Genomic DNA, 20,716 nt, shown 5'->3' with positions numbered 1-20,716 from the left:
TATATAGGAAAAAAGACTAATTCTGGAAGACAAAGCATACAGTCAGAAGAGGGAAGAGGGAAGTTGGGCACGTCACTAAGGCAGTAGAAAACGGTCCGAATAAGAGAATGACATGTTCAATGTGCATTACTAATAAACTACTTTAGCTGCAGTGAGGAGAAATGGATCTGAAGAAGGCAAGGCTGGAGGCAAAGTTATTGCTAGTATCAAGGCAAGAGGTCAAGAGGGTCTAAAACAGAAGTGTAGAAATTAGCAGGAAAAAGGTGAGATAGATTGAAAAAATATTTAGGAGATAAAACCTGCCTAAACTTGGTAGTTGATTAGATGCAGGAGATGAGAGAGAAACAGGAAGTTAAGACCACTGCCAGATTTATAGCATGGGAATTGGGAACATGGCAATATCAGAAACAGCAAATAAAAACAAGGAAAGAGGACACATTACAGATGACGTTCAGGGACTGGGGAAGAAGGGAAAAAAGCAAGAAATGTTGAGTTCAAGATGTCTGTGAAGATCCAAATGGCTATGTCTACCTGCCAGATGGATGTATAAATTAGTCAGGGCTAGAGACATAGATTTGAATAATCAGATTTGAAACACCCTTGTAAGGGTAGTTCAGACTCAAAAGTATATAAGATGCCCTAGGAAAATATGTAGAGAAAGAACAATAGGACAAGGATGAAATCCTGGAGAATACCAATTATCACAGAGGTGGAAAGAGAAGGAATATAGAGACATTTGTGAAAGAGCAATTATAAATATATGATAGAGACTGCCAGTGTCCATTAATATTTGTGTGCCTCTCTTCTTCCATAAAAGTACTGCTAAACTACATATCTCAGCCTTTGCAGTTAGGTAAAGCCATTTGAAAATATTTTGTCCAAAGATCTATGGGCAGAAGTAATATATGCACTTCTAGGCCTGGTTTCTGAAACTTCTTCCATGATCCTCTGTGCTGTCTCATTTTTCATGGAAGACTTGGAAGCCACAAACTGAGGAAGCCAAGTCTCTGAATGTCTCTAAGGAGCTGCACTTAGGACAGACACTGTAGTAAATATCAATATTTTGTGTCAGAGGTCTAAACCCTGAAAAACCTACATGGTTTGCACCACAAAAAAAAAAAAAAGCTGTAATTCTTTTCTAATATTTCATATAAAAAAGTTGTGGCCAGGTGCGGTGGCTCATGCCTGTAATTCCAGCACTTTGGGAGGCCGAGGCGTGCGGATCACCTGAGGTCAGGAGTTTGAGACCAACCTGGCCAACATGGTGAAACCCTGTCTGTACTAAAAAATATAAAAATTAGCCAGGCGTGGTAGCAGGCGCCTTAATCCCAGCTACTTGGGAGGCAGAGGCAGGAGAATTGTTTGAACCTGGGTAGTGGAGGTTGCAGTGAGCCGAGATCAAGCCATCACACTCAAGCCTGGGGGACAAGAGTGAGACTTCTCTCAAAAACAAAACAAAACAAAACAAAAAAAACAAAAAAAACAAAGTTGTATGTGTCCAGATTCGAAATTAAGCATCAAAATGATAATCAAATTAAAACTTCATAATGACCTAGGCTAGGAATAAATACTAGAATTTCAATAAAACATTTTCATGAATGTCATGAAAAGATCTATTTAATCCAATAAAAGATTCTGTTTTAAAATTGTATATTATTTCTGACTTTCTAAGTTTACAAACCAGATTTATAAATTTATCAGTGACTACAAGTCCTTCTTAAAGCAGATTGGGACATTTCTTCTGAAATTTTGAGTGCTATCAAAGTTATCACCTGTGTTTTGTACAGTTCATGTAAATTGTACTTCTTGAAAATTTCAAAAATAAAAAAGTAGTTACTAAAGGAAAAGTTTATGCATGTATGCCAAATAGTTGAAGAACAAAGGACTTTTGAAGTGCAGAGAAAATGAGAGAACTAATACTCAGCAATTTATCTATCAAGATATGTTTCCATAGAACTTAAAATAGAGCCTAATTTACATAGGAAATCTAAATATTTAAAATAGAGTTTTATTCATTAGTCACTGTTCCGGATCATAACATAAATTTTTAAAATACACAAAAACAAGTAACATGAACACTCTTACATCTTAATCGAATCAGTTTGTTTAAATCATGGGTTATAAATAAAACCAATCCTAGCAAACCATTTCAAGGAAGTTTTTCATTGTCTCCAATAGAGTCAGAAAAACCATATTTATATTTAAAACTGTATTTTGTAGAATACATATAAATATATGCATGTATTATACATGCACAGCATTCTTTGAAAAGTATCAATATTCAAATATCAGAATTTAATAAAATATTATTCATATAAAACCAAATTTAATTTTTGATTATTTAGAAGGAAATCAAGATAGTAAACTCATAAAATTTTACATCTAAACACAACCTATTCAAGTACCTATTCTCCCACTAGATTCCCATCGTCAGAAAGTGAATATTTAATAAGTCAATGAATAAACTGGTTTCTTTTGTAGTAGAAGGCATACACACTTAACAGATGTGATTCAACCAACTATACAAATAGGAAATATGACTAGTCAATTAGCTTACTCAGTTTCTTACATATAAAATATAGTTAGCTATACTTAAAAATTTCACTTGAAAAAACACTTAGGATAAATTATTTTCTTCTCTATACATAGGAATCAACTTGCAAGGCCAGGAAAGATATATTGCTCCTTTCATTACTCTTTTCCTCATTAATGGGCATGCTCTAAGTACTCGGCACTAGTATGTTAGATGTTGCTTTGCCATCAGGGTATATAAAAATATTGAAAATGCAGACAAAAAATAAATTTCATGCTCTTGTTTCCTTTCATGGAAGACTTAGAAGCCACACACTTAAGACAGCACCATCACTTTTATGGAAGGAGTCCAGTTCCTGAATGCTACCATGGAGCTAAGCCCAAACACTGTATGGAACATCTACATTTTCAGTCATAAAGCACGATAAATGTCCTGAAACTCAAGGAACTTATAATGTAGAACATAGCTGAAGCAGTGCATCTGTGTTATAGTACTGTCTTCTTGGAGGAAACATCTTTACAGTGAGCCAGGAAGCCCTCAAAGTGATGATGGAATTTGCGGTTGCAATCAAGTTCACTGTTTAAAAACCTCTCCTAGAAAGCCAAGAAACTAGGATCAAATCCTTGCTATTCCACTAATTAACTTGTGGAGTTGAGAGTAAACAATTAGACATTTCTAAGTCTAGTTTTCCTCATCTGTGAACAGCCAATTGTTCATTAAGTAAAAGGGGCTGGCCAATTTAGGTACTCAATACATGTTTGCTTTCAACCACCCACCCACCCACCTACTGGCACAAAGGCTCCAAACTCTACTTGTAAAATCCACCAAAAAGAAAGTTACTGCATTATATTTGTGTATAAATGGTTTTTACAACATCTATATGTTGGATTTTTTTTTTCTGCTCTCTCTGGAAAAAAATTAGTTTAAGCCTTGCTTAAGAAAAAAGAAGCTAAAGTAAATAAATCCTGACCAAGAACGCATATATTCTCAGTTTGTTTTCTGTAAGTCAAATGTTTAGAAATAGCAATGTATTTTCCCATAAAAACAAGTTTTAAGATTCTCAAGCCAGTTTATTTAAATATAGCCAAAATATATACCTAATTTGTGTTATATAACCATCAGCATTTAGCACAAAGAATTCATTGAAATATATATCCAGAGTTCTAGGTTGGGAAGATCTTGGGAGAAATAATTCCCACCAAAATTCCAGGAACTAGAAAACTGGGACTTACTTTCACCAGCCATGACTCTAATCTTCTCACCCACCAGGATGTGAGACTAAACACTGCCCGCTCTCCTGTACCCCTCCCATCCCAAACCCCAGACTACAAACTCCAAAAGCATGTTCATACAATCCCTTAGGACAAGGATGGAAATAGAGGTGATAGGGGAGAGGAAGGCAAGAAACTTAGAAGTGTCTGAAGGGTGATTTTTTAAAAGTCGAGGCACTGGGGTGTGTCCATGGAATTAAGAGGGGTTTCCTGTCTTAGTTCTCTCTTGTATATGCTGAAAAACCAAAGCAGAGTGAGGAACAAGGACTAGGTGGAGAAAGCAAGGCTGAACATGGAAGCTTTTCTACAGTTACTTCTGTGAAAGTAACTATAATTTGAAACTGGATTAAATTTTCCCTTCCCCTTCTCCTTCTCATTGCTGTACTAGTATTACACAAAGAAGCTGTGAGAAACATCTAAAAGAGTTCTTTGCATTGAGGCAGGGTGATAATGGACCACTGGAAATGAGGTGGGAAGTAACATCCCAAAGGGGATGGTAGTAACTGAGAAAATAAGAAAGTATATTTAATCCTTCTACTCTACTCTGAATTCTTTAACGACAGGTTTCACCTCCTGCCCAACTTTGCACCCTTGGTGCCTGGAAATCTGGCACACAGTAGGTGGTCAATAAATGTGTCAAATGAATGAATAAATATAACTGTAGTAGATGCTATATTCCTCATCCAGATCCCACATCATAACTGAAGGGCTTATTTTCCTAGCTATTGGAGTACTGCTGGCAGACAGCCCTCAGCTGTCAGCCGTCTTTGGGAATTACCTAGCAAAAAGGAGTCACTTCGGCCCAAGATCATACTCCTTCCTGGGGCAGCTTGCATCTAATGATTGGGGATATAAACGTCCAGCTCCTCTCACCCCAGCTTGAGACAACTCTGAGGGACCATCCCAGCTTCAGAGCTCTCCGTGTGGGTTACTGAAACTGTATCACAGTCCAACTTCTCCCATGGAAATCTGGCTTTCTTCCTTTACATGGCATTGGTCCCAAGAGGCCTCCCTAGTAAATTCGCTGTGCTCAAATTTCCATTTCAGAGTGTCTGCTTTCAGGGAAATTCAACCTGAAACAATAGTCCAAAAGAGGACCTAGATTTAAACCAGCTAAGGAAAGGTATCTGATTTCATATTAAAGGTCAGTAAATATAAAAAGGTTTTATTAAGGCTAAGGAATTAACTTTCTTTTCCAGCAATGTATTTCCATTTTAGCTACTTTAAGTAATCAACAGACCTAAGTACTTTGAGGACTGCTTCAAAAAAGACCACCTGTTTTACTACCATCTAGGCAATTAATGATAAACTGTACCAAATTCAATTTATCTAACTTAAAAGAATGCAAAAAAGAAACATTATGAATTTAGTGTAAACATGGTATAAAGCATTGCAGAGAACAGACTGCTTTTCCTGTGGATGTTAATCCACATCTGACTTGATAAGGAATTGTTTCTCCACTAAAAGCTACTAAATACATTAAGCACAGTATTTTTCATTATGATTAAGATAGTTAGAAATGCAATGCTTATATAAAAGTCACTTTTAAATTATGAAGAGTTACAAACTACCAGATCTACTTAAGGTACAACTGAATAAAAAATAAATAAATGAATAAGTAACAAAACCATTTGCTTCATCTGGGTACAGCTCCATATGTACTTAAGCTATTTTGGGCTCAAATAATACTTTAACCTTGCAAGAATGCTTGAGGTTTAACCATTAAATTGAGGCTCCAGAACTATTTCAAGCATATAAGTATGCTTTTTAAAATTTTTTTTTAGAAGACTACTTGCCAAATTACTACATAGCATGATTAGCACTAACCATGCTTTCTAATGCCACTCTATAACTCTTGCTCACAACTAAAATCTGAGAGTTTTGCCAGAGTGTACAGATACCAATATCCAGCTTTACTATAGAGGTGAAATGAGTGGACTATATATGGAAAAAGTCCGAATCTGTACTTCCTGGAATATGGCTCAAAAGGCATTTAGCAGATGTTTTATACTGGATTAGTGATTATTAATTCTATCTGTATATATTTCAGAAAACATACCTGGATTTGAATCATCTGCTCTGTGGAAATTCAAGAAGCAGCTGAGTGACACTGAACACCAGCATGCCCTTTGCCATATTACCTCATCATTATACTCTTATTTTCTTTCAATAATGCAAACATTAACTATGTAATATTTCTTGCAGAGACAGGATTTAGAAACCACAAGAGGATATTTATCAAAGAAAATGGAAACAACAGGGTGCTGAGAAAACCTGGTGCCAGTACAAATACACGCAAAACATTTAAAATAAAGTTAGTATCAGAGTTGCTATAATTACCTTCCACCAAATGTTTCATTAATTTAACCCTCAGCTTTCTTATGTTAACATAAAAGCAATCATTCAGTACCCATCTTTACCTAACACTGCTTTTACTTCATCTCCTGCATGTATTTCCTTGCTATTTGTTTCCTATTATAAGAAAACACAGGCTGGATGCAGTGTGGCTCACACCTGTAATCCTAGCACTTTGGGAGGCCAAGGGGGTGGGTCGCTTGGGCCCAGGAGTTTGAGATCAGCCTGGGCAACATGGCGAAACCCCATCTCCACTAAAAATACAAAAATTAGCCTAGCGTGATAGCGCACACCTGTAGTCCCAGCTTCTCGGGAGGTTGGGGTGGGAGAATCACCTGAACGTGAAAGGTGGAGGGTGCAGTGAGCCAGTGTCACGCCACTGCACTCCAGCCTAGGCAACAGAGCAAGACTCTGTCTCAAAAAAAAAAGAAAAAAGAAATGCATTAAAAATTAGACTTACTATTAGTTCCATATATAACAGCATAATCTTTAATCTCTTGCACAAATAAAATTAAATTAGCTTTATGAGTCATTTTATTTTTATGGTTTTTTTTTTTAAAAAGATGGTTAGTCTGCATTTCATTATTTAAAAGGCCAGTTTCCTGATCCTTTTTTCAACTACAGAGTCATCTCTTAAAATTTATGCTATGTGGAAAGTCTCAGATGTATTATGCCTTTGTCAGCTTACCATGAACACTTCCTAATGTAATATCCCCAGCAGCAGAAGACAGAAATGATGATTCTGTATAAAGATACTTGGCTTTCAGCAAACCATCTTCGGTAGATACAGTAACAGAACTTCCCTGCAGTTTATCTATGGTCACAGCCTAGTAAGAGAAAGACTAATCAGTTCATTATAAAACAAAGACTGGTAAAAAGCCAAAATGCTACCTGTGGAATCAGTGGATAACTACATAAAATGTTACTACCTAGTACACAATCACTTTATTGACTCTGATTCCCTACCTCTAATTACGAGATTCTGAGCAATAGTGCATTCTCTGCAGAATATGGAACAGATCCAATACATTCCCCCATTGACTTAGGTCTCCTTTAATTTCTCTTAATGTTTTATATGTCCTATATAAAATTCTTAATCTTTTATTAGATTTATTCCTTTTAGATATTTTTAAGTGCTATTGTACAAGGTATCTTTTAAAATTTCATTTTATCCTAATTGACTTTGTATTTGATCTTAATCCAACAACTTCACTAAAGTCACTAATCCTAATAATTTATCTGTACTTTTAAAAATTATATATGTGTTATTATACTGTCTACAAGTGATGGCTTCATTTCCTCCCTTCCAATCCTTATATTAATACTTTTTTTCCTGCTTTTTCTTTCTTTTTCTTGCCTTAACCATCTGTCTCAGGCCCGCAATTCAACAGTGAATAGCAGCTAGCAGAAGCAATGGGACAGCAGGCATCCTTGTCTTATTCCTGTTCTCAAAAGAAAAGTTTACAACATTTCACCATTAAGCATGATGTTTGCTATAGATATTTTTAAAATAATTTTTATCAGATTAAGGACATTCCCTTCTATTTCAACTTTGTTTGATTGCTTTTGCTATTTAAATCATGAATAGGTTTTGAATTTTAGCACATACTTTATCTGATTCTATTGATTTATCATGATTTTTCTCTTTTAGTACATTAATTAGTGAATACACTATTATTTCTAGAACTTTTCCACTTGACATCTAATAAGGCAGTAGCTTTCCACCAAACTAAATGGAAGGAATTTAAATTTACTATTTAATGACAGAACAAAAAGTAGATTTAAAAATCAGTATCTTCCTGACAGAGGTATTGCTATAAATTTTCTTTTCTACATGAAAAGAAAAATTTTTCACTTAGTTATTATGAATATATATGTAAATACATATATATAGTTCTTACAAATAATGAAAGCCAAGTTTTAAGGAAGTACTGTGGCTTCATAGCCCAGACTGAGAGGAAAACTGACAACTATGTCATCAATTCACCAAATAGACGAAATGGGTTTCTGTGTTCTCTGCTAAGTTATAAAACTAAACTTAGATACTGAAATTAACACAATTTAAAAACAGTCATGTAGAATAATGATGCTATTATTTATAGTGCTCATTTGATTCTCACAACCTTGTTAAGTGGACAAAGCAAATATCACCATCCTGTTTGCTGAATAATGAAACTGAGTCTCTGGGAAGCTAACTGGTAGGTCTAGAACCCGTCCAAGTTATCTTTCCTGTGATTCCTTTACCTTTATCATCATCATCGTGGTAAGCATTACATTAGACTTAGCTATGTGCCAGACGTTGTTTTAAGTATTTTACCTGTATTAACTCATTTAATCCTCTTAATAGAGGATTTTTTTAGTTTGTTCTATTACTATTACCCAATTTTCCAAAAAATTGAGACACACAGAGGTTAAGTAATTTGTCCAGTTATAGAGCTTAGTGAATGGTGGAGCCAGAATTCAAACACAGGTAGTTTGGCTCTGAATATATTCTGTGCTCTTAACTAATTCACTATATTTGTCTCTCAAATATCCAAATCACATTTCTATGAAAGTTGTGTATTAAAAGTTAATAGATTTCACAAGTATTTATTTTATGTTTTATAAAAACTACAAACTTAGAAATATACATTAAAAATCAATACTATATGTAATAAAAATAGGAAAAAAACCCTAGACTGATTCTTTAGTACATAACAAAACTCAATCAAGAAATAAAATTGTATAATAGCAAGTAAAACACATGAATATTCAATAAACCATAAACATTGGAACAAATAAATAACTGAGAGGAAACAGTGGCCAAGATATTCAAGGTAGCAAATGATTAAGATATTAAATTCTTTGATACTTATATTTGAATGCAAATGTTACAATATTCTAGTAACTTATTTCAATAACATTAGCCATCATTTACTGAGTTTGAAGGGGCTGTAAATTTGTCTAATTTCCCTCTTGCACCTCCAAGACCACAGCAATCTAAAAAGTAAAACTAAATGCCATCTCAAAAAAGCTGCAGCATAAGGCCACACAGTGTCTTTCAACACTTTCCTAGTATAATTTACAGAGTATTTTTAAATGTTTAGGTTTAAACAACCTCCCACGGGGTCTAAGAGAAAGGTGATGGAAGATAAAACAACAGAAACAATTACTGTTATAACCTACCTTGTTTAATTATGCCAACAATAATCTACATATAAAATGTGCTCACAACTCCTCCCCACCAACTCTGAAAATAAAGTGACCATGGAATATAGCAAATTTGTAGGAAGGTGATGGAAGATAAAACAACAGAAACAATTACTGTTATAGTCTATCTTGTTTAATTATGCCAACAATAATCTACATACAAAATATGCTTGCAACTCCTCCCCACCAATTATCTGAAAATAAAGCTGACTATGGAATTTAGCAAATTTATAAGAAACAAAAAAGCTCTTGCAAATTGTATAAGTGTAAAATAAAAGGAAACTTTTTCTCAAAGATACATTATCAATCACATTTTTTAAATGACAATTTATAATTCCAAAATTATACCTTTACTCTTAATACTATGCTAAATAACCAAAAGCTACAAAAGGAGTTGATTAAAAAATACCAACTATCTTCCTATAACAACAAAAATCCCAATAGCTACTATAAAAAAAAAAAAAAAAAAAAAAAAAAAAAAAAGCTGTGAGAGCAGTAAAGCTATCTAATGGTGCCACCTTGTGGAAAATACTGAAGAAAGCTGAGTTTTGAAACATCCTTCAATTTGCCTAAGGGCGAAGTAAAAAGGTCTTAGAAAATACTCAAATAAACCTAACACAAGAAAAATCCAATCCAGTTACTGGTGATATTACTTAATCATCTATTTTAATCTATGATGATAAAAATAAAAATCTTTTCAGAACTAGAGTTAAATAGTAAGCATTTAAGTTTTTATTGATTCCAGACTAGGAACTAAGTAACTGTCAAAAGTATTAAACCACAAACTAAAACTTAAGTTGTATATTATTTCATCACTTCAATTTCAAATTTGAATTTACTTATGAACTAAAATGCATTAAAAAGGGAATGTTATGCTACGAACTTTGTAGAACCTACCAACTTGGTGAGCCAAATGGAAGCAAAGTTGCAATTACTAAAAAAAAAAAGAAAGTTTCAATCTTACACTTTTATCTGATGCATGAATATCTATATTTCCATAAACTGTTCCCAGACAGATCACTTTGCCTCCTTTTGTTTGAACATGCAATTTTTGACCCTGAAAGACAAATTTAAAAATACATATAGTGAAAAAGAGAGTAAGTGTGACTTATACTAGTGAAACATTTTCAATATTTCTGTATTAATACTGACAAAGCAACAAAAGAACAATAAGGAATGAAATAGAAACTCACTGCTTCGAATAATGACATCAACTGGAAAAAAATGTCAACTGCTGTTAAAGGGATTAAATAAGCCACTTGGACTCTAAGGGAAAAACAAGAGATACTTGGGTATTCTGGTAGCTTCACTGATGAAGGACTTGGGAATCAAAAATCACTGTGACCAGCTAACTAAATATCCACAGTGATGAAGATGACAATAATAATCAGTTACTATTCATCATTAATAACAATAATAGTTATCACTTATTTGGCATTTTCTCTGCACCAGATACCATGTTAGCTACTTCACATGAACTATCATTTAATCCTCACGACAAACCAGAGAGATAAGTATTACATTTTTCCCATTTTACAGAGGAAGAATGCCAAGATTCAGAAAGGTAAATCACTTTATCAGGGTGACACAGAAAAAAACCCAAAATCTAAAGTAACAATTAGAATCAAGTTCTGTATGATTCCAAAGCCCACACTCTTAACGCTGGACCGGTCTGAAGGACAGAATACACATTAGGTTAACAGCCCACTTAAACCTTCTAGCACAACACATCCCAGAAACTAAGTAAAAATGCCTCCGAGCACAAAACAGCAGTCACAAGCCAGTTAGCCTATTCTGCAAGACAGAAAACAAAAGTATGTGTATGTGTGTGTGTGTGAGTGACTTGATTTTGGACTTGAGAACTATGGCAAACACTACTATTGGCTCATCAAAATCCATTTTTTTCCAAAGTAAAAGCAGTATAGCTTGACCCATGGCAAGACCACATTTTCCAGCTTCCTTTACCTCTTAGGTGTTGTTAAGTTGTTACCAACATAACGTAAGTGGAAATGCTATATGCCATTTCCAGGTTGGTGCTTTTAGAACAAGTGTGCCTTCTCTGTGCTCTTCTCATTCCACCAAGTGGGTCCAGAATATAACAAGGCTCTAAAAGATGGCAGAGCCGGAAGACGGAAGGAACCTAGAATCACTGAATGAAAAAGACCCACCCATACACCTGGACACAAGTAAGAAATAAACTCATATTATATATGAGCCATTAGATGTTTGGTCTATTGTTTTTTGTTTTTGTTTTTAGACAGAGTCTCGCTCTGTCGCCCAGGCTGAAGTGCAGTGGTGAGATCTCGGCTCACTGCAAGCTCCACCTCCTGGGTTCAAGCGATTCTCCTGCCTCAGCCTCCCACGTAGCTGGGACTACAAGCGTATGCCATCACGCCAGGCTAATTTTTTGTATTTTTAGTAGAGATGGGGTTTCACCGTGTTGGCCAGGATAGTCTCGATCTCTTGACCTCGTGATCCACCCGCCTCAGCCTTCCAAAGTGCTGGGATTACAGGCATGAGCCACTGCACCCGGCCTAGTCTGATTTTTTTTTAGAGTAGTTTATTTTCCCTTAATCATTATATATGTCTTTAGTTTTATTACATAAAGAGATATGGATCACTTGAGCCCAGATGTTTTCCCTTAATCATTATATACGTCTTTAGTTTTGTTACATAAAGAGATATGGATCACTTGAGCCCAGATGTTTGAGGATTCAGTGAGCTAGGATCGTGCTACTGCACTCCGGCGTGGGCAACACATCAAGACCCTGTCTCTTAGAGAAAAAAAATCTGTACTATAGCATGGTTAACTACGTTATGCCCAGAGACATGAGTCTGAAGTCAAATTATATTTAATATACTCCTTATCAAATATGTGATAAACCTTTGAAAAGACTATCCACAAAGCACTTTTTTTTATTTTTTAATTATTTTAATTATTTTTATGTACAGAAAACACAACAGTGTACATTTAACCCAGTTTAGTGGCAAGTTCTTTAGCCTTTGCCTTTTCGAGCTTGGCAATGTGAGCCACAGACTTGGGACCCAGGACATTGCCGTCCCAGTGACAGTGGGTCTCATCGTATCTGGCATTGTAATTGGTCCCGATAGCTTCCATCAGCTTAGCCAAAGCTCCTTTGTCTTCTGAGTTAACCTGTGTGAAGTCGACAGTGGTGTAGGTCTTCCTGTGAACTAGACATCCCAGTCTTGCCTTCCCCTTGATAATGCAGCAAGTGGCTCCCATTTTATGACACAGGACAGGCAGGAAAACAGTCAGCTCAATGGGATCCATGTCGTGTGCAGTCACCACCAGCGGAGCTTTCTTGTTATCCACAAAGGTGGTGATGGTGTTAACTCCTGCTCGAAAGACAGGTGGTCTCTTAATGGGGAGGTCCCCTTTGCCCACAACTCTGCCTGGGCCAACAGCCTCCGCTTCTTCTCTTGCTTTGTCTCTGGTCTGTATTTGTGGGCCAGCTTAAGCAGCTGAGTAGCTGTTTGGCCTTCCAGGGCCTGGGTGAACTGGTTAATCGCAGGAGGCACTTTCAGCTGCTTATAGAGTATGGATCTCTGCCATTGCAACCTGATATAGCGGGGCCATTTCACAAAGCAGGTGAGGTCTCTTTTGGGCTGGATGTCCTGTCCAATGCCAAAATTCTTAGGCCTTTTCTCAAACAGGGGATTCACCACTTTCTTGGCCTCCTGCTTCTTCACAAAAGCAGGGGCCAGAGCCAACTTCTTCCCCTTGGCCTCCTTTCCTTTCGGCATCTTGGGCGACGGGAGGCGCACACTTGTTGTTTTAAGTCAAGAACTCTTAACCAAGCTCACATGAACTTACAAAATTATAAGTAAAATTTCATAGACATGCATTTTTTTCTTCTTAAGGAGACAATTAGATTTTCTAAGAGGTCTAAGGTTCAAAAATAGTAAGAGCTACTGTTATAATTTAAAGCTCATCTAATTCCCCAAAAAATGTGAAGTTGATTATAGAATTTTTAAAAACATAAAACCAAATAGTTAAATGTTTAAATAAATCAGAAATTATTTAGAAAATAAATTATACTGCATTTAAAAAATGCAAATGTGTGACATTCAATTAGTTAAGGGTCTGTTGCCTAAAAAATGCACTTATCTTATTCCCTAAGGATGCTGTACAAATGTGGTCTTACCATATGTTTTGTCAGGACAATAAATAAAGGTGGAAAAAGCATGAGCTTGGAAATCAGAAAGACCCAAGGTCAAATCCCAGCTCAATTTTTTTTAGCTATGTGAACGCAAGTGAGTTCCTCAATCTCTTGGTGCCTTCTAGTTTCTTCCTTGATAAAATGGAGAAAATTCAAGGATTAAATGAAGGTTTAGCTAAGATTCCTGGTACATAATAAGGACTTATTAACAGTAGTTATTATTATTGCTATAAAAATTTTATTATGTAGGGCTGAGCACGGTGGCTCATGCCTGTAATCCCAGAACTTTGGGAGGCCAAGGTGGGGCAGATCATGTGAGGAAAGGAGTTCAAGACAAGCCTGGCCAACATGCCTGGCCAAAATTAGCCGAGCATGATAGCGGGTGCCTGTAATCCCAGCTACTCGGGAGGCTGAGGTGGGAGAATCACTTGAACCCAGGAGGCGGAGGTTGCAGTGAGCCAAGATCGTGTCATTGCACTCCAGCCTGGGCAACAGAGTGAGACTCCGCCTCAAAAAAAAAAAAAATTTTTTTTATTATGTAGGTCAACTATATTTCAAGTCCTTAAGTTAATGAAAGAGACACATATCAACAGGTGACCACTAATTCAAGGTAATGATATTATTGTACGATACTTAAAACTTAAACCAGATATTTTACCAAAGTGTTCTCATTTGTGAATTGAAGTTAGTTAAATCCTATGATCTCAAGGATAATTCTCTTAACCCTTGGTATACCATTAGTATCCACAGGCGTAATTTTTCATGAATTTCTTGTTTTGAGCTATTTTATTTGTAAGAACTGATATTTCATGATTTCTGTTATTTCTTGGGAGGTCTTTCAAGGAATAAATAGAAAATGTACTTACTTTTAAAAAAATAGAACAAAACTCTTTCTATCCTGTAATTACCATTAATTGGTCCATTGGACTTTTATAAACCTGAAATACATTATGGGATAATAGTGTTCTTATTTTTAATTTTTTTTTTTGCTAATTCATCATCCTAGGAGTTATTTCATCATTATTCATAAATTATTCCCAACTATGTTTTTTAAAAAAACTAAATAAGAAAACAGAAGAATGATGGACTTGCATAAAGCAGTCGTTCTCAACTGGAGATGATTTTGTCTCTAGAAGATATTTGGCAATGTCTGGAGACATTTTCCCTTGTCACAACTGAGGAGCATGCTACTGGCATCTAAAAGGTAGAGGCCAAAGATGGTGCTAAATATCCTATACTGCACAAGACAGGCCCCCACAACAAATCACCTGACTGAAAAGGTTTGTATTGCCAAGGCTAAGAAACCACTTTTAATTTTATGCCTACAATGGCATAAAAGAAGAAAATCAACAGAGAAAGATCTTTCAGAACTATCAGATTAATCAAAACATAAATGCAGAGACAGCAGTATACTAGATTCTAATTTTGATTGTGAAATTGGAAATCTCAAACTCTTGAGTCTTCAGAGGACAAGTCTAGATTAGTTTTCTGAAACTTAAGTATCAATGACTGAACAAAATATTTCTAAGGACAAAAAAGAATTATGATATCCTCACCTAGTCATTCAACATGAAGACCTTATTACACAATCTTTTACAACAAGAATCTGAACCAACTTATTTTGCTAAAAGGACTTGTGATGGTAATGTTAATCTTTTATGATATTTGTGCCAAAAATTTATTTGAACTGATTCATATGTGGACACATGCTGATGGCAGATACGCAAATAAAGGTGGATGAAAGAAAAAATATGTAAAAATTAAAAATGCATCAAATTATTCTAACTAGTGTTTAGAAATCTAAAAATGAAAATATTTTGCAATTATGAAGCAAAGATGACTGACTTCAACAAAATTGCATGCTTTCAAAGTTCACAAAAGTATCAAGTTTTGACTATGCAAATGCAAGAAGCACTAAGAGTAACAATAAGCTAGCACCTATCAGAGAGGTATTTCAAACTATTTACAGCTAACACCAGTCTAATCTTTAAAAAATTAAATATAGGTCAGTCATGGTGACTCACACCTGTAATCCCAGCACTTCATGAGCCCAAGGCAGGAGGATCACTTGAGCCCATGAGTGCAAGACCAGCCTGGGCAATACAGTGAGACACTGTCTCTACAAAGAAAACACTAAAAAAAAAAAAAAAAATTAATTACAGCCGGACGCAGTGGCTCATGCCTGTAATCCTAGCACTTTGGGAGGCCAAGGCAGGCGGATCACGAGGTCAGGAGATCGAGACCAGCCTGGCCAACATGGTGAAACCCTGTCTCTACTAAATATACAAAAATTAACTGAGTGTGGTGGTGCATGCCTGTAATCCCAGCTACTTGGGAGGCTGAGGCAGGAGAATTGCTTGTACCAGGGAGTCAGAGGTTGCAGTGAGCTGAGATTGCACCACTGCACTCCAGCCTGGTGACAGAGTAAGACTCCATCTCAAAAAAAAAAAAAAAAATTTTAATTACAAAACAAGATGAATCATATGTTACTTTGCACAAATAACTACTTAATCCTTAAGTAATGAGCTACCTGGTACATTAAAAATGTGATTAAAGTCATCTAATATTTAAGCACATTTATAGTGCATAAAGATTCTTCCTTACTCTTTAATAAAATGGAAGAAAATCATTTGTGGAAACTAAAATTTCTTTAGTAAGATTTCAGAATACTAGGAAAATACTATTAGTTTCACTGTACACTTTGAAATTAAATCCAAAAGAAATTTGAGGCAAAACCTCAAAACTGCTATAACCTCTGTACTTTACTAGAACTGATTTCAAGGCAAAATGTTTGCCAAGGACTTTCTGAGAGATGAATGAATGACAATGTTCTGAAAAACAGAAGAATCTCTTGAGTTTGATAGTACGATTCATAGCTTAAGGCTTTTAAAAAAATAATAGTGAAATAAAATTAGAAAAATGCTATACCTTAACAGACTGCAAGATACTAGTCCCATGCTCTGTTTCAATTTTGCAATTATCACCCTCAATACTTTGAACTTTTACACAGCCAGACCCTGATGACTTGATATCTAAACCTAGAAGTAAAAAAAGAAAAAAGCAAGTTAGTACTGCAGTTTATAAGCTCCAAAGCATTTTAACCTAGAAACCCAACTCCTCAGTTATGTCCGTAATATTGCTGAATCCTGGAAAGTGCATACTGTAAAGGTAAGGGGTCTTCTACCACAGCAACGGGACCAAAAACAATAGCCTTTCTGCCCGTTTTTAGAAACAGAGCAGTTATTTCTACTGGCCTAAATCACCTAAAGAGAACTAACATAGATGGGAAGTAAAGGAGACTACGATTCTGTTAAGTACTCCTGTGAAAGACTGTAGAAGCCTCTTCCCCAGTATATATGATCATGACTTAGGTTTTCAAATCCTATGTCTAACCTTTCATACTTAAAAAATGAAAATATTACCATGCAACTATATCACAGGTATTTGAAGTAATTTTTTAAAAATGGGAACAACTTTGAAAAAGCTAATATATACTATTAAAACTACAAGATTAGGCCATGAGCAGTGGCTCATGCCTGTAATACCAGCACTTTGGGAGGCCGAGGAAGGAGGATTGCTTGAAGCCCAGGAGTTCAAGACCAGCCTGGACAATGTAGCAAAACTCCATTTCTACAAAAAAACAAAAACATTAGCCGGGCATGGTAGCATGCACCTGTAGTCCCAGCTACTCAGGAGGTGGAGGCGAGAAGATTGCTTAAAACCGTGAAGTCAAGACTGCAGTGGGCCATGATTGTGCACCTGTACTCCAGCCTGCGTGGCAGAGTGAGTGAGATGCAGTCTCAAAAAAAACCAAAACAAACAAACAAAAAACCCCACAAGATTGTGGACAAATGGCAGTGGTATATGAAGCAAGTTTGGAAAATAAGGAATTACAAATGCCATCCTTGGCTGTCTATTTAAGATGTAACTGCAGGCATCTCTGTATACAAATTTTAAAAATTAAAAACGCTGATATTTAATTTGGAATTAACATAAATATTGATGATTTCTCTTAAAGTAGGCAAGACCCGCCCCCCCACTTGATTCCTGAAACCACAAATAGTACCAAATCCTATATATTCTATGTTTTTTCCTGTATACATATCAATGATCAAGTTTAATTTATAAACTAGGCATAGTAAGAGATGAACAATAATAACAAATACAGCAATTATAACAATATACTGTAATAAAAGTTATATTACTGTGATCTGTCAAAATATCTTAATATTTTCCTACAACAGCTGAGGCAGGTAACAAACTGAGACAGCCAAACGGTGGATAAGGGAGGACTACGGCATCTACTATTTGGGCAACTCTAAGCATTATAAAAGATGATCTTAAAAATGCTAAATGCTATTATTATTACTATCATCATCATCATCAATATCTTCCATCAGTCCCAGGAAGAATGACAGTCTGGGGAGCCCTTCCTAGAAAAGTGTGTGTACACAGTGGCTTGCCATTTAGGAAAAGCTAAGAAAGGTATCTTGCAGGCATTATTATTGAAGCTTCCTAGGCAGGCTTACCATGTGTTTTTCTTCAAAGCTTGCTACTCATGGAAAACTTAGGCCAAAAAGAATGGAAATATAACAGTAAGAAGCTGGGCGCCCGTCTAAAACCAAATACTCAAACCAGGTGATACCCGGAACATCCTATTGACAGGGCTGTTTTGGGACAGACCCCCAGGCTGTGAGCAAGATGAAATGTAGATGGACTGCCATACCATTGAATGAATTGTCAAGAAACTTCAACCTTGAAAAATAAGCCAGTTTGCTAATGACAACGGGATAAAGGAGAACACAAGCGGCTCCAGAAATAGAATTTGACCTGGATTATACCAAATCATGTTTCCATTCGATGTATAAAATTTCTATAATTGGGAACCTAATTTTTAAATACTACTCGGACACTCAAGAACAGAACAGAGGAAAAGGTGCATTTCCGAAGGGGCCAACTGTAAATTAGGTTTAGAGAGCCAGGACCAATTAAAAGTGCACGTCGACCACATTTATTAAGTTCACTGTGCGTTCCCTGGGACCCAAACCCGTTTTCACTTCACTTCACTTGCCAAACTTCAGGGGCGCGTTCACCTCCACGGACGCCTGGGGGTGGATAGTATCAGACACAATGGCCATCTCCTCCAGATCCTCGTCGTACTTCACCTGCAGGCCGTCCAGGCCCCGCACGCCGCCCTCCACGCCGCACACCGCGACCAGCACGCGGTCGCCATCCGGGTAGGTGAGGGGGTCCAGGGGCCTCACGGCCAGGTGGCACGGGAGCCGCGCCCGCAGCCGACCAAACGGGCTCACCTGCAGTGTCCACTCCTTCAGAGTTCGGCGCCCCGGGCCAGGCGGAGGGACCTCAGTCTCCGATCCGGGCCAGCGCTCGCTCCCACCTGAGCTGTACGGCCTGGCTTGGCAAGCCCAGCAAGCCCAGCGCCCAGCGCCAGCCCACAGTCGGACCTGACGGAGACAGAGACGGAAGCAGCCAAGCTCCCAACCTGAGCAGGGGGCAAGCATGGCGCGCCTCTCTCGCCAGTCCTCAGAACACTTCAGCCACAGGGAGGGTCACTTGCCACGGCCAATCGACTTGGCCACTGTGCCGCCTCAAGTCAAATAGGAGACGTAAGTCAGGGTTTGCTGAAACAAGAGCGAGCCGGTTGGCTTGACTAGGCGTTCTAAACATCAGCCGCGCAATCCCCAGGGGCAAGTTGGGATTTGAAAGCTCTAAACTCTGACCTGGACCCCTTGCCTAAGTCCACCCCCTTTCGCTAAGGCCGACGGGATAGGTAGTTCTAAGTCGCAGAGCTCTGCCTCTTAGAAACCACATTTCCCAGGAGGCAATGCGCAGGGGAGCACGGGTAAGAGGGTAGGTGTTAGAATCGCTGGAAAGGCGGGCGCCCTTTGTCTCAAGACCATTGGCTATTGGAGGGGCGGTACATGGGAGTCCACTGGCCAATGGGAAGCACGGAAGGGGCAACGCGGGTAAAGCTGCGTGGTCACCTTGGATACCAAGCACGCGACTTCTTGGTTGGAGAGGGTGGAGCTTTGGAGTGAGACCCAGGACGCCAAATCCCAAAGAGAAAAATAGGAGCCTAAATAAGGATCAGGACCAAGGGAAGGGGTAAGAAACTGCGCTTTTTAAGATGACAACTAGGTGCAAACTAGGAGTAACCTCTGTGGATGTCAACATCCAAGCTTCACTAACTTAGTGAGGGCATCTCCAGGGCATGGAGAATGCCTTGGTAAGAAAGTAAAGAGCAAGATTGGTGCTTTTTGAGGGAATTGCCTCTTTGGAAGTGTATTCCCTCCTATATTCCAAATATAGGAATAGAGTACTTGCTCCGTCCTGACCCTAAGTGACCTTACTTTGGGTTTTAATTTGCTCACTTTAAAAATGTAGATAATAATACCTTCCTTGCCTTGCCTCAAAGGGTTTTTGTAAGGATCAAGTAAGAAAATGGATGGGACCGTGGTGCACAGTCTACAAAATTACCGTGTAAAGAACTGTATTTTTATTTCAACGTACTTAACATTGATTCTGAGTTACCAAGAAAATTATGAGAGATCAGAACTTGTTTTGAGAATAGCATTGATCTCTTTGACTACAAATGATCCTCAGTTTTAGAGTGAAAAAAAAAAAAAAGACACAAAAAAGAGAGTCACCATGGTGCGGTGGAAAGAGCAGGGACAAGGGTCAGGTTATTTTCCTGGCTCTGCCACTGCTTCATCTGTGTCACCTAGACCTGTTTCTTTAGTTTTAAAATGAAGAAAGATGGTTCTAAATGACCCTATAAGGGGTGTGTGTGTGTGTGTGTGTGTGTGTGTGTGTGTGTTTACCTTTTATAATTCTATAGGCAGTAAAATAATGGGAACAGAAAGATTTATTTTCTTCTTTTTTCTTTTTTTCTTCTTTCCTGCCTGGTTTCTCTCTCCCCCTCTGTGCCCCTACTTCCTCCTAAAATGTATTCCCTAAATTATTTAGCCAAGACACCTGCAAACACTAACATTTCATAAAATGCAAGTGCCTTAAAAAATAGAAGCCCTTACCCAAGTACAATGACCAGAATTCTTGGGGCTATCGTGATAGATAGACTGGGCTAAAGTTCTCATGGGTACAAGTCTCAGGTTCTCTGCTAGCCACTACCTTTTTAAAATTTTTAAAAATTCAGTGTTCTCTTAAGT

General features: G+C 37.3%; 1 protein-coding gene and 2 pseudogenes across 18 annotated transcripts in view, besides 4 other annotated features; 1 reads left to right on the top strand and 2 right to left on the bottom strand.

Annotated features, from left to right (window-relative positions):
* FAM185A (family with sequence similarity 185 member A) overlaps positions 1-19,260 on the bottom strand; it is a 101,725-nt gene extending 82,465 nt beyond the window's left edge. For 5 of the 17 annotated variants that reach the window (NR_146984.3, NR_146981.3, NR_146982.3 and 2 more), the window contains exons 1-4: positions 18,842-19,260; positions 16,458-16,567; positions 10,313-10,405; positions 6,848-6,986 (exon numbers count right to left, since the gene is read on the bottom strand). Coding sequence is in view for 3 of the 17 variants with exons in the window: in NM_001145268.2 (NP_001138740.2) it covers positions 6,848-6,986; positions 10,313-10,405; positions 16,458-16,567; positions 18,601-19,051 (793 nt within the window). In the remaining 14 variants the exon portion in view is untranslated. Of the gene's footprint in view, positions 1-4,582; positions 4,878-6,847; positions 6,987-10,312; positions 10,406-16,457; positions 16,568-18,600 lie in introns of all 17 variants that reach the window. The other 12 variants (NR_146986.3, NR_146989.2, NR_146985.2 and 9 more) reach the window with 8 other exon arrangements.
* Positions 12,270-13,129, bottom strand: RPL7AP39 (ribosomal protein L7a pseudogene 39; annotated as a pseudogene).
* Positions 19,243-19,537: an enhancer, noted in NCBI's record as "tiled region #2028; HepG2 Activating DNase matched - State 1:Tss, and K562 Activating DNase unmatched - State 1:Tss". NCBI's record gives its function as "activates a minimal TATA promoter and a strong SV40 promoter by Sharpr-MPRA in HepG2 and K562 cells {active_cell/tissue: HepG2 | K562}" and the evidence as "EXISTENCE:reporter gene assay evidence [ECO:0000049][PMID:27701403]".
* Positions 19,243-19,570: a biological region, named in NCBI's record as "Sharpr-MPRA regulatory region 2028".
* Positions 19,271-19,440: a silencer, noted in NCBI's record as "silent region_18508". NCBI's record gives its function as "represses an Ori minimal core promoter by ATAC-STARR-seq in GM12878 lymphoblastoid cells {active_cell/tissue: GM12878}" and the evidence as "EXISTENCE:reporter gene assay evidence [ECO:0000049][PMID:35858748]".
* Positions 19,481-19,570: a silencer, noted in NCBI's record as "silent region_18507". NCBI's record gives its function as "represses an Ori minimal core promoter by ATAC-STARR-seq in GM12878 lymphoblastoid cells {active_cell/tissue: GM12878}" and the evidence as "EXISTENCE:reporter gene assay evidence [ECO:0000049][PMID:35858748]".
* The window catches only part of RASA4DP (RAS p21 protein activator 4D, pseudogene), a 69,987-nt pseudogene continuing 68,835 nt past the window's right edge, over positions 19,565-20,716 (top strand). The window contains exon 1 of the transcript NR_146066.1: positions 19,565-19,655. The product of NR_146066.1 is annotated as an RAS p21 protein activator 4D, pseudogene (transcript). The remainder of the gene's footprint in view (positions 19,656-20,716) is intronic.

Source organism: Homo sapiens, chromosome 7 (assembly GCF_000001405.40).
Source record: "Homo sapiens chromosome 7, GRCh38.p14 Primary Assembly".
NCBI classification, from domain to species: Eukaryota; Metazoa; Chordata; class Mammalia; order Primates; family Hominidae; genus Homo; species Homo sapiens.
Note: the sequence above shows the minus strand (reverse complement) of the source record. Positions and strands in the feature narration are given on the sequence as shown.